Source organism: Homo sapiens, chromosome 12 (genome assembly GCF_000001405.40).
Source record: "Homo sapiens chromosome 12, GRCh38.p14 Primary Assembly".
Lineage (NCBI taxonomy): Eukaryota > Metazoa > Chordata > Mammalia > Primates > Hominidae > Homo > Homo sapiens.
Window position 1 is genome coordinate 104515905 of NC_000012.12, and position 17263 is coordinate 104533167.

General features: G+C 44.1%; 1 protein-coding gene across 4 annotated transcripts in view, besides 3 other annotated features; it reads left to right on the plus strand.

Annotated features, from left to right (window-relative positions):
• The window catches only part of CHST11 (carbohydrate sulfotransferase 11), a 305067-nt gene that overhangs the window by 58957 nt on the left and 228847 nt on the right, over window positions 1-17263 (plus strand). The window lies entirely within an intron of this gene.
• Window positions 4546-4595: an enhancer, noted in NCBI's record as "active region_6921". NCBI's record gives its function as "activates an Ori minimal core promoter by ATAC-STARR-seq in GM12878 lymphoblastoid cells {active_cell/tissue: GM12878}" and the evidence as "EXISTENCE:reporter gene assay evidence [ECO:0000049][PMID:35858748]".
• Window positions 7427-7721: a silencer, noted in NCBI's record as "tiled region #14866; K562 Repressive non-DNase unmatched - State 6:EnhF". NCBI's record gives its function as "represses a minimal TATA promoter and a strong SV40 promoter by Sharpr-MPRA in K562 cells {active_cell/tissue: K562}" and the evidence as "EXISTENCE:reporter gene assay evidence [ECO:0000049][PMID:27701403]".
• Window positions 10887-11477: an enhancer, noted in NCBI's record as "NANOG-H3K27ac hESC enhancer chr12:104920569-104921159 (GRCh37/hg19 assembly coordinates)". NCBI's record gives its function as "activates a minimal SCP1, AML or CMV promoter by ChIP-STARR-seq in naive H9 embryonic stem cells {active_cell/tissue: H9 hESC(naive)}" and the evidence as "EXISTENCE:reporter gene assay evidence [ECO:0000049][PMID:30033119]".

Here is a 17263-nt window from a genome sequence, read left to right on the forward strand (position 1 = left end):
GTGCATAGAGCATTTTTGTGTGTATTTTAATTTCAGCATTGGCTACAGAGCTGTGGTAATCTGATATGTGATCCTGTTTTAAAAAAATTATTTTATCTTCAGAACAATAGGAAACACGAAGGGAGACCATGTAGTGCAGTGGTTAAGAGAAGGAGTTCCAGGCAGATAAGAGTTGAAGCTCAACCTTGGCAGTATTGACATTTAGGGCTGAACAAAATCTTTGTTGCTGGAAGCTGTCCTGTGCAATGGAGGCAGTTTAGTAGCATTCCTGGCCTTTACTCACTAGATACTTGTTGTGATAACCAAAAATGTCTCCAAACAATGTCATATGTCCCCTAGGGGCAAAATTGGGGCAAATGTTAGTTGAGAGAGCAGAGACCCTGACTCTTTTTGTCTCCTGTTCACCTTTTCTTCAGCAGAGAGCACGGTGTCTGTTCATATCCTGGTGAGAAGTATACGATTTATGTGATTGGCTCAGATCCTTGTGTTAAAATACAAGCTACTAAAATGGTCATCTTTGCAATTTTTTCATTGCCTTTTTTTCTCTTGCTAGTCATCATCCCTTATGTGAAGCAATGAGGTGGATATCATTTCCTCCATCCACTTTTAGGCGTGGTTGGAATTGGAGGGCTTAAGGCTTACGAAAAGTGCCTGAGCCCCTGAGTCCATGCTTTTGGCCCATCTGAACTCCAGGAGGGGAGACATACAGATAAAAGAGTGAGGTGCTTTTATAGTGTTCCTCTGAGGCTCCCTGGTAACATGCCATCCATTGAAAATTGGCCTCTTTGCCTGGGGGAGCCCCTAGGATGAGTTGATACCTAAGTCACCACTGGGCATGCTGAATTAAAGGCATGCCTTGCTGTAAAGAGGAACGGAAGCTCAGGGCACCAAGCAGAAGGGGCACATTAGGAGAGCCTAGCAGAAATGTATTTTTGAATTTGTGTGCCCTGTTGGGCTCATTTGGATTGATTTCCTCCACTCTACCTTCTATCCTATGCCTAAGTTGATCATGGAGCAAAATGTTCCTGTTTGTTCTTCCTTCTAGAGTTACGAATGGTAAAAAGGCAATAACTGATGTTTACTGAGCACTTCTTATGTGCTCTAAGCTCTCTTCATGCATTCTCTTTCCCCCCTTCCAAATCCTCTCCATCATAGCTGTTACTGCCACTTAAAGATGAAGGAAGAGCCTTGAGAGGTTTAGTAACATTCCCAGGCTGAGTGGTTAAGTAACTGGGGGAAGCTGGAATTTGATCTCTGCAGCCTTTTTTGTCTGTAAAATCTTGGGTGCACTGTAAGAGAAGCCCAAGAATTGTCCAGCGAAATTAAAACTGCACCCCAAAGTTCAGCGCCTGGGCTCCATCCTCAGAGCCTTTTATTGCACCCGCGCTTGGATGGGTGTCTTGAAGCCGATTTAATCCTGGTCTGTCTACACAGGGGAGCAGCAAGCTGTTGACAGCCTCATTTTATGGTCATCAGTGCCCTCTTCCTTCTGAAGCTTGTCAATTTTAATGTCTGGAGAACCAGGGGGTGGTGTAGGGGCTTCCAGACCCCTGTTTGCAATCATCACTTGTACACCAGAGCTTCTCACACTTAGATGCATGTGGAATTCCCTGGGGTTGGAGTTAAGTTGCAGGTTGTGATTCCATAGGCCTGGCCTGGGGTCTGATCCTGCATTTGTAACCAGCTCCCGGGTGATGATGTGGAGGTGGGTGTCCTCTGGCCACACTGAAGTCCCTAGTTCTAGATGCCATCACCCTCACCCTACTTCAGAGGCTGTACCAAATTCTTAGAAGAGAAATTTTGCCTCAAAAGCGACCTGGGAACCTGACCTCAGGAAGAATTTCATCTCTGTGGGAATGTGGAATCGGAGTGATAGAGGTGAATGACAAGGATGTGGTGTTCCTTAAGCTGACTCCTGATGAGCTTGGCGAAATGAAGCCAGACATTTTATAATTGGTCCCTTTTCTTTGTGTAGTGTCTAACACTTTTTGAATACCTACTGCATGTCAGTGCCTTTTCCCACTGAGGATCGTACTGGATAACTTTGGATCTAAGGTCGCTTTGGCAGTGAGAAGTTCCCGCCTCTGAGTCAAGACCACCTTTGAGTCCAGAAATGGTGGCTCACGCCTGTAATCCCAGCACTTTAGGAAGCTGAGGTGGGAGCTTGGCCCAGGAGCTCAAGACCAGCCTGGGCAACATAGTGAGACCCTTACTTGACAAAAAAATAAAAAAATTAGCCAGGCGCAGTGGCACGTGCCTGTAGTCCCCGCTACGTGGGAGGCTGAGGCGGGAGGATTGCTTGAGCCCAGGAGTTCAAGACTGCAGTGAGCCATGATTGTGCCACTGCACTTCAGCCTGGGTGAGAGAGCGAGACCCTGTCTCAAAAAAATAAACATAAAAATAAAGACCACCTTTGAGTTAGCAAGTATGACAGGAGCGCGTGAGTAGGAAGGAGGGAAGATTCGGATGATACACATGTTATCATGCTGTATTTCCTTCACTAATTATATGGGCTCGGTAAGGGATATTCAGAGGTTGTCAGTTGCCTTTGTGCCAGATTCAGTTGGACTCTGATAAAGACCTAGGCAAATACGATGTCTGTGCACCGTGTTCTGGGAAGCACTTTGAAGGACCCCGGGCAGATTCACTGGCATAGTTAATACACCCCGGACTTTCCCTCGCCCTGCATATGGTGGCTTATGAGAAGAAAGCGAAGACTAGAAAATCATTTGTGTGTCACTTTGCAGGAAAAACACTTCAGGTAATGAGACAGGATTTGAGTGGGAAGGTGATTATAACCAACCCTTCATTCATTTTCTACAAAATAGTCAACATGCAGTCTTCCAAGCTGCATAATGAATATAGCATCCTTTAGCTGGGGATGTTGGGAGGATTTATTTTTTATCTGTGATCCAATATTAATTTGCCTTAAACAAAAGAAGCAATTTACTGTGTAATTCTGAGGTTTATGGTGTTTCTACTAAGTCCTTTCATCTTTGAAAGATGGTGTTATGCATTTTAATAGAAACCATTTTTTTCTTAAAATCTTTTCTTTTTCTTTTTTTCTTTCTTTTTTTTTTTTTTTAACTCTTTCTTCTCTTCAGTCGGATTATAGAGTTGGAGCAAATGTCATGATGAACTTTGAGGCCTAGGCCTGGACTCTTGAGGTGTGTGTGTGTGTGTGTGTGTGTGTGTGTGTGTTTCTTTCTCCATAATAGTCCCAACCCTAAACAGGGGTATGGCACAGTACTTCTTATGAACAAAAGTGCTATTGGTCTACAAGGGGACTTGAGCCTGCACTAATTGTATTTGATTAGGATTTTTGTGCTGTCTGTATGATGTTTAACCACACTGTCAATTACAGACTTCCTTTAAGGAATTTCCAGGAAACCCCCTTACCATAAGAGTTTAAATTAATAGTTTGCTAGTTTAATGACAGCAGTTGGTAAAGGAAGCACCTTTCAGACCATTAGCTAAAGCCAACTTCCTTTAAACTTAAAGGAGGGCACAGCATGATAGATGGAGATCTGCCCCAGTGCGTCATCATAAATGCCTCGAGGCAGCCACAGGATGGGTTTTGACCTCAGTGGGGATAGGTTTGGTTAGAGGGTTGGGTAGAACCCCCTAACCTGTAGAAGAATCTAGAAAAGTGAGATGAACGCCTTTCTCTTAAGGCTGTCACTTGTCCAATTCCAACTCCCTCTTTAGTAACCACCTCCCTGCCTCCCAGCGAAGTGACCCCAGGGAGCCGGTTATTATGGCCCTGCTTGATGGATAATTACTGGTTGAGGCTTGATTTGACACCAGCATTTTGCATGATAGCCTGTTAGATTTGCTTGGCTCAGATTGATATTTTCATTCCTCTAAGGCTGCAGCATGGAAACATGGTTGAGTGGGGTTTGCCAAGATGGGATGATTTCCTGTGCTGTGGCAGGACCAGGACAGCTGTTCTGAGAACTGTTTCGGCAAAGCCTTCACAGTTGGTTTTGTTGAAGGCTTTTCTGCAGGTGCAGGGTTGGTTCCTAAAGGACAGTAGTCTGGTTTTCCTAGGAAACTACTTATGGAGAGTGCGTGTGTTTAATTTAGGAGGCACAGCTGTGCAAGGGACTGGGACTCCATCAGGGAACGGGGTGCAGGAGCTCCATGTTCCTTATGTCTTAGCTTCATTCCTAGTTGCTGGCGTCGGAACTGATCAAAGTTGTCTGTTGTCTTTCTGCACACCCATGCTACAGGCAGTAAGGGATGAGGCAGCAAAACCAGTTCACTGCTCATCAGCTGGGGAGGCTTCAGGACAGTCTCTGAACTACTGAGCATTAGTTTCTTTATCTGTCCAATGGGCCCAATGGCACCTGCTCTGCTCATCTCTCAGGATCTTACATGCCACATAAGCTAATGGAGAAGTAAATGCTTTATAAGCCTAAAGGAATGGACATGGGTGCATTCAGTGAGAGGCAGTAGGACTAATGGTTAGTGATTAGTTTGCTAAGTAGGAGCAGCAGTTGTTAGTGTAAGAAGGGCGGGTTAGTACATGGGTGGTGGTCAGGAGGAGCACCACTGCTGCTGCTACTTAGCCACTTGTGTAACCTTTTTTTTTAAACAAAACAAAACAAAAAAAAACAAACCTCTCAGTCTGCTATAGGATAGATTGTTCCAGCATCTGAAATTGCAAAGCACTTCTTGAAGGGGATTCTTAGGATGGCGTAATTTTGTTCACTCATAGGATCTTCTTCCTGGGGCATGATCCTAGCCATGTTCAGGATAAGCCCTGAGCATCAAGCTGGTGCAGTGAAGTGTTCTGTGGCTGGAGGCTAAATCTGTCCCAGGCTCACAGCATGGGAGCGGGGATGGCAGGGGCTTTTGAATTCCCTTGAGGGCACTTGGCCTTTGCTTGTATCTGCTCAGGAAGTCAGACAGTCTGCAGCCAGTGGCGTGTGCAGCCACCCCTTCTGTTCTCTGACCCTGGAGGCTTGTGGTCCATTTGTTTTAAAGGTGACTGTCTGATATTCCTTTGGAATACGTGAGTCCGGTGGGAAAGAATAGAACATATTCTGAATCTTAATGGTGGATTTAAAAAATCTATTTAGAGAATCTGAGCACTTAATTAGACATGTCTTTTTTTCCCCAGCTGCCCTAATTAAATAGTAATCATAATAAGGATAAGGATAATAGTTGATCTCAGTATCCTGTCTCCCAGTGAAGTTGCTCAATACATATTTGTAGATGAATGACTTGGAGATCCAAAGGAAGGTTCAGAGATTTGCCATTGTATTCGAGTCTACCCTGGTGGGACCTTTAAGGTGAACATTCTTCTTCTCTGGGCCTCCACCTTTTCCCTTCCCATATAACTATTTTCTCCTTATCTGCATGCTTTTCTGCAATGCATATCCGCAACAGGTGAGCCTGGGTGAATATGATTACATGCAGGTTGGTTTTTCTCCCTTCTTTGTGGTCCGCGTTTTGGGATTAAATCCCCCTGCAGACTTTTGTCTGGTCAGCCTGGTTGTGACTGTGGATCTTGGTTTCGTATACTGTCAGAGATGGCAAGGAATTCAAAGATGATGTCGTTTTACGTCTTTATTTTATAAACTCGGGCCCAAAGTGAAATGACTTGCCCAAGAATACACTGAGTGAGTGAGGTGGTCATAGAGAGCTAGCTCTCCTGACGCTTAGCTCAGACCTAATTCCAGGAAGGTGACTGCATCTAGCTTCTGCCCCAACACATCCTGGGAAGAAATGGTATCCTGCTAAGAGAATGAGGGCTGGATGGAGGTGTCCTGCGTAACGGTGTCAAAGTACTTCACTCTGTCCTCTGGGGATCCCACAGTGATTCTTTGATTCTATGCCCACTGAGGAAAAGTTGATTTGAGTCTACTCCACTGTTTGATTGAAATGGGCCTCTTCTGTCCCCAGCCTGGTGAGTCGTATCTTGTTTCCCTGCCAGTGGGCATTTTCTGCCTTTATCCCCGCTCATGGCTGCTGAATGGGTCACCCAGGCTGGGGCAGGCTGAACTACAGGCTAATGAAATTGTTTGGCCTAGTTCCTGCTTGGTGGTGAAATCTCAGACAGGATCTTATCACCCTCTCTGTGCCCGGAAAATTCGACTCTCCTGGAGCTTATAAAATTGGGATGTCTGTTTCCACTAGCATTTCTTTCCCAGTTATATTAATCAATAATGTGAAATTAAATCAAGAAATTCCTTATGCCGGCACTGGCTTCTCCAATACATTTATCTCTGTATTCTAGTATTTGCTTTGGCTCTTTTTCTCAGAAGGGGATTTTTCCACACAATTTAGGAGCACAGAGCGAACTTCCTGGGAAAGCCTAGAAATTCAAACATCCTTAGCTGCATAAACTTGGGAGTATCAGTATATCTCACTGAGCCGTGTTATTTTTAATCTGTAAAATGGGCATCAGTGTGCCACCCTTGCAGATGTTGTAAGGATTACATGAGATTGTATGGTGTGTAGGATACACCTCACTTCGTGTTTGGCATTTAGTGGGTCTTCATGTGGAGGTCCGAGCTTTCAAGACAGCCTTTTGCCTGATGTAGATGTATTTACGTGTATTGGTGTAGGGTTCTCAGGCAGGCTTGATCATCAGAATTACCTGGTGTACTTTAAAATAATCCCAGCATGAGCATCAGATACCAGGGTTCCCCCAGACCACTCACTCATCCGAATCTCTGGAGATGGGCCCTATGTTCCATCATTTTATTTTATTTTTCTATTTTTTTTCAATATTTTTGTAGACGTGGCGGGTGGAGGGCTGGTCTTGCTATGTTGCTTGGGCTGGTCTTGAACTCCTGGCCTCAGGCAATCCTCCTGCCTCAGCCTCCTAAAGTGCTGGAATTACTGGTGTGAATCACTGCGCCTGGTCCTATCGCATCATTCTGAAAGGCTCCCCCTGTGCTATTTTGAATCCTCAGCCACATTTGGGGACCTCTGTAGGATGGGTTTTATTTTTTCTCATCATCCTTGATAAAGGCAAAATGGTGGTATGGTATAGAGACTTGAGGATTTCAATCTGATCATTTTTTCATGCTTGATTTGGGCTCTGTTCACAGCAAGTTTGTTGGGATAGGTGGGGTAGGAAAGGGGGACAATTTAAAAATAATCGTCTAATAAGAGAAGCTGTGATGCTTGACTAATTAGAAATGGAGAATTTGCTTCTTAAAAAGGCAATCTTCATAGTACTAAAGACAACCAGATTATATCTGTTCAGGCCACCATAGGGTTTGCCTTCAGATGCAGAAACTTATCTCTGAGATGGCTTTAAGATGGAGTGGTGAGAGTCCACATTGAGTTTCCTATCTGTTTCCAGATGTGTGGGTGGGGTTTCTTGTCTCTGTCTCTGTCCCTCCTCCTCTGGCTGGCTTAATACTGGGAGAATTCTTTTCGCTTCCTGGAGGACCCACATGCTTTGGAGTGAGGGAAGCCAACTTGAATTCTGGCTCCAATCCTTAAATCCCATCTGGAAGTGTCATATAGATGGGATCTGTTCCCAGCTTGGAATCTACCTGGGTATAACCTGGCACTCAACGTGTGGCCTCAGATGTTTTTGTTGAGCAAAGAGAAATATATCAGAGAAAGATGAAAAAAACCCCAAATCAGGAAATCTGTCCATTTCCACTTCCTGATTCTGTGACCTTCAGCAAGTCATTGAACCTTAGAGAGTGAGCCTTGGTTCCCTTATTTGTGAAATGGAGTGCTCACATTCCTTTCCTTAGCTTTCTCAAGTGAAATAATATTTTATGTAAAAATGCTTTTGTAAAACCGCAGAGCAGCCTCACCCTTACTGTAAAAGGAATATTTTGTTGCTTGTTAGAACACTGGCATTTACTCAGCATTTTTGCTGGTTGTTTACCTGTTATCTCTCTCTGTGTTAAACATGGAAAATTATTTGTTTATAAGTTTTCTTTCTGCTTTTTAGTCTTCTGGGAACCCTGCAGTGCCTAGGCACTTTGAGGAAGGGTTTTCTGGAATTTCACATGGGTTTCACCTCACCCTATCCACATAGCTTGTCTTTAGAAGTCCCTATCTCCCTGTGTTTTCTGGGGTGAAAGACAGAAGCTCTGATCTGCAACCTCAAAGCTGCAGTGTTCAGGAAAGCCAGATATTTTTGTTTTCTTTCTTTCTTTTTTTTTTTTTTTTTTGCCTCTCAATTGGAGTCATATAGTGCTGCAGCAAGACTTGTTTTCTGGATTAGTTACTGACCCAAAGTATTTTTCTTGCGAATAAATGTTGCTTCCCACCACAGTGACTCGAGAATAGGAAGGACACATGGAGAGGATTATAAATAGGTTTTGGTGCCAACAGATAGGGCAGCCTTCCAGAAAAATTATTTGCATTCACCATGTGTTTGTTAAATGGGCAATTATGGAGTGTACAGTTGCTAGCATTTGTTTGCCTCTCCTTGGGAAGGCGATAGTTCAGTAGTGGCCTGCATTTGACCCTTAGTCAGAGAGCTAGTGGGCTTTGCAGCTAGTTCATTCATTTGTCCTAATCCAGGATGGACTGTTTAAAAATATATATCCAGCCAGAAAACAGACATAGACACGTATAGGGAATGAGTTCTTGACAGAGAATTTCAGTATTTAACCATTGGTATAAGCATCCTTCCATCCATCCATTCATCTACTTATCCACCTTACCATCCATTTTCCATCCCTCCTTCCATTCATCCATCCACTCACCTACTCTTCTACCCATCCACTCATCCATCCGTCCGTCCATCCATTCATCCACCCATCCATCCATCCATCCATCCACCCATCCATCCATCCATCCTCCATTTTGGCAAATGGTTATCAAGCACCTACTGGGTGCCAGTTCTGTCCTGGGTTTTGGGGATGAAAAGTCAAATAAGACAGGATCTCTGACCTCAAGGAGCCTACAGTCTGCGGTACAGGATGTTTTCCTAAATTTTAAGTCAAATTCTTCCTTGACACATACCTATTTTTATTTTGTTTTGGTTCTCATCTCTGTGAACAGAGCAAAGCATGCAACCATTGTAACACTTTCATTTGTTTTTATAAACTCAAGTTCTAGAGTTGGATTTCATGATTTGCATAACTCGGCATAGTGTAAGTGCTTGTAGTTTTAAACAGAAAAAGAGGGAAGAAATGACAATCCAGAAAAAAGATCAAATCTTATGACTGTAATTTATTAAGGTATCCAATGGAATTCTTTCCTTTTTTCTTTCTTTTTTTTTTTTTTTTAAGAGACAGTCTCAGTTACATAGGCTGGAATGCAGTATCATGATCATAGTTCACAGCAGCCTTCAACTCCTGGGTTCAAGTGATCCTAGAACTTGTGGCCTCAAGCAGTCCTCCTGCCTCAGCCTGCCAAAGTGCTGGGATTACAAGCATGAGCCACTGCTCCTAATTCTTAAGAGATATTTTTAAACCTCATAGTGTATACTCTTCAGAATTACTTTTTGAACCATAAGTTTAAATGGCAAACACTTTCTAAATGTATTTTACTGAAAGGCCAGTTGAGAAGAAGAGGATTCCATCATCTTTTGAATTAGCATGAGGACAGGCCATTAAAATTCATGATTAAGAGCACAGGATTTAGGTCTGACAAACCTGGGTTTGGATTTCCATTTTGCTGTTCTCTACCTGTGTGACTTGGGGCAAATTACTTAATCTCCCTGAGCCTCAGCTTTCCTCTTTATAAAATGGGAATAACAACAGTATTTACCTGAGAGAACTGGTATTAGAATGAAGCGAGAGTAAAGATTTGCAAAGTACTCAACACAGGCCTGGGATATAGTAAGTGCTATTTTGATTATTTTTAAGGGCAAAGAGATTAGATAGTTAACAAAAAAAGGAAAACCAAATATTGGTCATTGGAGGGTTTCTGTGGAAATAAGATATGTGATGCCTTTTGGTATTACACAACTAACAATCTCCTGAGAAATCGTAAGGTTTCTCACATAGCCCTTATTTGCATCTTTGCTATGATGCCGATTTTTACCAAGCTGTTTTTTGCAGTTCAAGGATTGGTGGGAAACGTTTGTATGTGTTGGGGTGGGGGTGGGAGAAGAAAGAGCGTCAAGCCTATAAACAATGCTTCAGATTTTCAGCTAATTTTAACACGAATTAGATTTTAGGTTTTTAGCATGTCTTTTCGGCAGACGACCCCACTTAGAAAATCCAATTCTGAAATTAATTTCAACAAATCAGAAAGGCTGATTGGTAGTTGTATCTGACTTTTTTTCTTGTTGACCAGTGAGTTGACTTTTATATAACACTTGAGGCAAAGAGTTCAGTGTTGTGGGAATTATTTTCACAAATGGATCATTTTCTTAAAAAAAAAAAGAAAAGAAAAGAAAAAGAAAAGAAGGGAGAATTTCTCTTGGTGTTTTTGTTCCATGGAAGGTAGTTCTACATACTGTTTATAGAGGCCTTGATCCTTTTTAAACTTAAGGAGCCCAGTTGGCCTCTATTGCAATAAATTGAGCTCCATATAGGGGCTGAGGGACATTTAATTTATGTGCCTGACTCTTTTCCCCAGTTCAGCCGGCTACTTCCTGGGATGGTGTTCTTGATTGATGGCCCTTCTGGCATGTTGTGCTGCTGGGATGTCTTTTGAAGTTTCTCCTCCGGGCCTGAGGTTTGCCCCTGTGAGGTGTTAATGGGCTTCCTGCTGGGGCTTTATTTGTGAGGGGTGCTTGTTAGAGGGGGCTTGATGGGCCAGTGGGGGCACCAGAGCGCCAGTTCTTCCACTCTGAAGAGTTGATTCTCAGGCCCTGGACTCGTGTTCTCAACCCACTGCAAGTCTTGTTTTTATTTGTGCTCCTCAGGTAGAAATGTTTAGCTTCTGGGGGTTCCGAGAACCCTGGCAGGTTTTGGGAGTGGGTGATCAGGCCCAGCCAGGGAAGGGTTGCTTTGAGAACCCACACAGATAAGTGGACTCCTCCCCACAGGGGATGGCAGGGATTTGCGGTGAATAATAAGGGGTTGAGTCTTGAGCAAGATGGCCCATACCTTGTCCTCTTTTCTCCCGGGTTGGCAAGGCCTCCGTGTTCTCCTCCCTGGGTCCTCAGCGGCCTGACTGCCTCTAGCCTCCCCTCCCAAATTCCATTCTCCTCAGCACCACACGGCACTCTTTCTAAAATGGCTCTCCTCTTGCCAGTCCTTTCATGGTGTAACGGGTTGAATTGTGTCTCCCCACAAATTCCTAACCCCCAATGCCTCAGAATGTGACTGTATTCAGAGATAAATAGGGCCTTTAAAAAGGTGATTAAGGTAAAATGGGGTCATTAGGGTGGATACTAATCCAGTCTGACTGATGGGCACAGAAACCAGACCTGACCTGCCAACACCTTATCTTCCAGCCTCCAGAACTGTGAGAAAATAACTTTGTTGTTTAGGCCACCCAGTCTGTGGTACTTTATTTTGGCAGCCTGAGTGGATTAATACACATGGCTACCTTGACCGATGGGGTATATTTCCAACCTCATGGAGTGTCACAGGAGGTCTTTTGTCTCTGGCTGCTGTCTGCCTTTCTGACCTTGGGCAGAGCTCTCTTCTCTTGCCTGAGAAACTACAGATCCTTTATGACTCAGTTCTAGGCTACCTGCTCTGCGTGAGGCCCTCTGAGACCATCCTTCTCTCTGTCTCCCTCCCCTCCCCACCGACGTGGATCTTCTATACTCTTCTGAGAACCTTGAGGGCAGAGACAGCACCTAGCTCTGAGCCTGGTAGTTAATCAGTGTTTATTGAATTAGTTAAGACTTACACTTTATTGTTTTGTTTCCTTAGGAAGCTACCCGCTATGCCCAACTTAGTGCTCTATTAGAAAAGATGATGTATTAGTCTGTTTCCACACTGCTGTAAAGAACTACCTCAGACTGTGTAATTTATAAAGAAAAGAGGTTTAATTGATTCACAGTTCTGCATGGCTGGGAGAGCTCAGGAAACTTACAATCATGGCGGAAGGTGAAAGGGAAGCAAGGCACGTCTTACATGGCAGCAGGAGAGAGAGTAAGGGAGGAAGTACCACACTTTACAACCATCAGATCTCATGAGAATTCACTCAGTATCACGAGAACAGTATGGGGGAAACCACCCCCATGATCCAGTCACCTCCCACCAGGTTCCTCCCTTGACACGTGGGGACTACAAGTGGAGATGAGATTTGGGTGGGGACACAGAGCCAAACCATATCAGATGATAAACCTTGATTTTTCACAGGGTGTTAATAGCTTCATACAGGTATGTCCCAGATGATGATGGTTATGTCCGTGATAACACTAGTAATTTTAGCTAGTATTTACTGAGCACGTTCTATACACCAAACAAGCATGTGCCTCACCTAACTGTCACAACATCCTTTCAGGTAAGCGTATTTTCAAGTAAATTTGAGCCAGCTTTATCTGGGAGATGGCATAGCCCAGCTGTGAGCAAGAAGATTCAAAAGCTAAAGGCTTCTTTGCCTCCAGATCATTTCTGGCAGGGCTTGACACTCCAAAGTGATTTTTCTTCAGGTGCTCAATCACATAGTAAATTTCAATGAAACTGGCGAGCAAATGAAACCTCCTTTAACTCACTCTTCATTTGCAAACGTAGGAAGAAATTGTTCAGTGACAACTCTGTTCAGTAGAACCATCATGAGTTCACTGGGTCCCCCTGCAGCTTGGGGACTGGGTGGCCAGTGCTGTTCTTCCACCTGCCACTCTTTAGATATGGAAAAAGAGACCTGGAGGAGTTTTCCAAGATGTTGTCAGGTTATAAGAAGAGCTAGTGAGTGCACTAGACTGTGCTGTTTTTCCTTTGGTGTTCAGATAGAGAGAATTTTAAATTCACTTTTTGCTCTAGGTGCTATCAAGGCTTTTAGTTATTTTTCATTTTAAAACCCTGGGAAAGAAGAGGGATGACCTGGCCATTTTCGATCCAATGTACTTGACAGTATTTCCTTGTGCTGCAGTGTCCCCAGGACTGACTTTGCAATTCTTTCTGAGTTGTGCCATACCACTGAATCCACTGAGGGCAACCTTACCTTTTGGAAGGGAGGTGAGAAGAATAAAGAAATGTAGAAATTCAGTAAACACACCGCTGGGCAAGTAGGACCTCAGTCTAGTGTAGAGAGAGCTGGCTGCCATCAGGAAATAGCTGTGTCCACAGCTTTCTCATTTTACCTTAGTGCTCAGGCAGACCCTGTGGAGGAAATGAAATTTAAATAGAGAGGTGGACAAGTCTCTGCCTGAGCTTCCCTGAGGCTGGGGAAGGAGATGAGGGCAAATTGAGCACCTGGAGACCAGAGTAACTAAGGAGTTGTGCCTACTTACTCTTTGCTGGAGAGATTGTTAGGTCTGGCATACATTTCTGGGGGTTATTAGATTCCTTCCTTGGTTTAGGTCAACTTGTTGTGTGACAGGGAGACATTGTATTCTAATCTCTGGAATCTGGCTGCCTTTTTCCATCCCTGGCCCTGCCACTTACTTTGAGAGCTCAGACAAGTGGCTTGACTCTCTTTGTTCTTTTATAGGGCTGTGTGTGGATTAAATAAGATCATGCATGTAAAGTATGTAGCCCAGTACTTGTTTTATCAATTCAGCTGCTTTGACAGAGAGGCCCCAAATAATGATGACTTTAAAAAGATGTAAATTGATTTCTCCGTGATACATGGTCAGGGTAGACGGCCTAGGACTGGTTCTGCAGGTTCCACAATGATCAGAGACCCAGCCTTCTATAGCTTGTTGTTTTGCCATCTTCAATGTATGCCTTTCATCTCCTGGTCCAAGGTGGCTGCTTCAGTTCCTGCCATCATTTCTGCATTCCAGCCAGTAAGGGAAAAGGGGATATGGAAGGCATGGCTCTTTCCCTTAACAACATGACCGAAAAGTTACTCACAACACTGTCTCATCTCACTGGCCAAAGCTCAATCATGTGATCACATTATTCACAAGTGAGGCAGGGAAATTGTAGTCTTTAGCTGGATGCCCAACTAAAAAGCATGATTACAGGCTGGGTGCGGTGGCTCATGCCTGTAATCCCAACACTTTGGGAGGCTGAGGTGGGCGGATCACTTGAAGACAGGAGTTCAAGACCAGCCTGGCCAACATAGTGAAACCTCATCTCTACTAAAAATACAAAAAATTAGCTAGGCATGGTGGCACAAGCCTGTAATCCCAGCCAATTGGGAGGCTGAGGCACAAGAATCTCTTGAAACCGGGAGGTGGAGGTTGCTGTGAGCCGAGATTGCGCCATTATAGTTGAGCCTGGGAGACAGAGTGAGACTCTGTCTCAAAGCACTATTACTGTATAAGAAAGAGAGGTGGGATACTGGGGACAACTTGCAGTATCTATCCAAGAGTTAAATGCTCAATAAATGTTAGTTATCACTACCACCACCACCACCATCATTATAATCATCATGATCATCATCATTTCTGGTCTTAGCCTATAAATTCCTCCACGTCCTCACTTCTTATTTGATCCCCTTATTCTCCATTTTAGCCCATGTTAGCTTGTGCTTTGTTCTATTGCATGATTTGCCTCTGTCCCTGTCTTGAGACCTTTTTATACCCAGAGGCTGGCAATGTAACTAGAGTCCTACAATAAGCTCCTGTGTGATGAAAATGGATCTTAAAGCTGGTGAGGACATTGACAGTTTAGGGAGACTAGAGCATAAAGTCTTAGCAATCTACTTGGCAGCTTCATTGACATACTACAGGAAAAGGTGACGGAAGGAAGAAAAAAGTCTAGCTATCTTGAAATGTAGGTTAAGCACTTGCTTCATTTTGTTGTATTCTTTCCACTCACTTTTGTGAACTTCCACTGAAGATGTCTTGAATCTCCATGGAATTCTTCTCAAAGCTTCAGCCTGGATATCCAGCCTCCTGACTCACCTTTGGGGTTTCCAAAATATGATAAGTTCAAAATCTGTGGCCTTAAGAAGGTGGTGGAAGCCAAGTTTCTTTTGGTTCAGAAGCACTTTGAGTATATAAATGGATTCGTGCTGTAGACCCTGATTCATGATTTAGATGTTTCGCAGGAGCTTTTCAGGATAGAGATGGTTCATTGAAATTTCACGTGGATTTAAGGCTCATTAAGGTGTTGGGGAAGCCGGATGCCACTCTGTCAGTATAAATCCCAGTGAGGCTAATTTAGTGGAGCTGTAGCCAGCTTTCATGTTTTCCATCAGCCACACTTACCTTCATCTCTTCCCTTCTCCTTTCTAAAATACTGTATCAGAAAGTGACATTTTTTTTCTCCTAGGAGAAGAATCGCTCAAAGATGATGGTCTTCCTTCTTTCTACCATGGTATTTGTCTTTAAAGATTAGGCGATGTGGTGGGTGGGCATGGTGGCTCATGCCTGTAATCCCAACACTTTGGGAGGCTGAGGTGAGAGGGTCAGTGAGGCCAGGAGTTTGAGACCAGCCTGGGCAACATAGTGGGACCTTGCCTTTACAAAAAATGTAAAAAATTAGCCAGGTGTTGTGGTCCATGCCGGTACTCCCAGGTACTTGAGAGGCAAGAGGATCGCTTGAGCCCAGGAGGTTGAGGCTGCAGTGAGCTATGATTGTGGCAACAGAGGGAGATCCTGTGTCCAAAAAAAAAAAAAAAGAGAGAGAGAGAGAGAAAGATTAAGTGACATGGATACAAAGGATGGGAAAATCCTGCAAAGAAAGATTGAAGTCATTGTTGATTTATTTTTTCTTTCCCTCATTCTTTCTTCTTTTCAGTCCCTGTGGGTTCTCCCTGAGATCTCTCTTGGGAATTCCTCTCATTCATTTCTTCCCTTGTGTTACTGTTCTAATTCAGGCCCATAGTATCCCTTGCTAGGACTGGTGCAGTAGTCTTCTGGTTTCCTTGCCTCCTGCCTCTTCTCCATCCTGTGCATGTTCTCCCAGCACTGATCTGGCCCAGTCACTCTCTCTGTTACACATAGTACCTTCTTCCCATTACTGTCAATGGCATACACCCTTCCTTGGCATGGGATCCAAGACCAGACCATGACTATGGTTGTTTGCTAACAGTCAGAATATCTGGCATCATGGTAGGCATTGTTTGTAAATCTTTTTTACAGTGAAGGAAATGGAGGCTAGAGGGATTAAGTCACTTGCCCAGTGGCTCCTGCTAAAAAGCAATGAAACCAGGATTGGGCTCTGGGCAGCTGCACTCCAAAACTGGTGCTCTTAATCCCCACATCATGTGTTGGTCTCATCTCTGTCTATCCTCTTCTCCCACCGTCTCTTTCCCTCACACCCTGGCTTCCAGCCCCACGAATCGGCTTTCATGTCCCTGTCTTGTTGCCATCAACAGCATGACTTGAAGTTGCCCATGTCATGGTGTCTGAACCTTCATGTTTGCTGTCCTCTCTGCCTGGAGTGCCTTCCCTCTCCCTTTTGACTGGCAAAGTTTCACTCCAAGGTCTAGTTCACAGCCCTTTTGTGATGATTCCCACCCCCACCCCGTTATAAGAATGAGCCAAAGACGGTGTATTGGTTCCTAGGTTGTTTCTTCACAACAGACTGCACCTAACAGTCTCAAAAACCTGTAGGTTCCAAACTCAATTTTTAAAATATTTATGAGTTTATTACAAAGAATACCAAGGAACAGTCCGATGCAGAGGTACATAGGGCAAGGTGCGGGAGGGGTGCAGAGCGTCCATGCCCTCTCCAGGCATGCCATCCTCCCACCACCTGTGTGTTCACCAGCTCAGAAGCTCTCTACACCCCTTCCCAACCTCAAATTTTTACACATCCATTTGTTTTAAAAATAGCCAAAACAAGCAGATTTCTAGCCATTCAGGGCCTGCCTACTTTGCATACCCCACAGAACTATACCCACCGTGTGCCAGCCATTGATGAGACAGAGCCTTATGGTTATAAGACCTAAGACTGCTCACTGTCCCAATGATCCTACAATGCTCCTGAGCTACATCATCCCCTACAGTTCCCCTCCCCACCCCAGACAGTGGCCCCCACACCCACCATAACCCTCTGGATGGTCTCATGCTATGAGGGACTTCCCTCTCATGCAACCCTGTTTAAGTGCTGTTGTGTGTCACTGCCAAATCTTTTTTCTTTTTATTTCCTTTTAGAGATAGGTTCTCGCTATGTTGCCCAGGCTGGTCTTGAACTCCTGGGCTCAAGCAAACCTCCTGCCTCAGCCTCCTGAGTAGCTGGGGCTACAGGCACGCACCACCATGTCTTGCTTCCAAATCTCTTTTCTTGATGAGCTCCCAATTACTCAAACCCCTATACCCTCAACAGATTCCATCACTCTGTTTTATAAATTTCCATGGTAT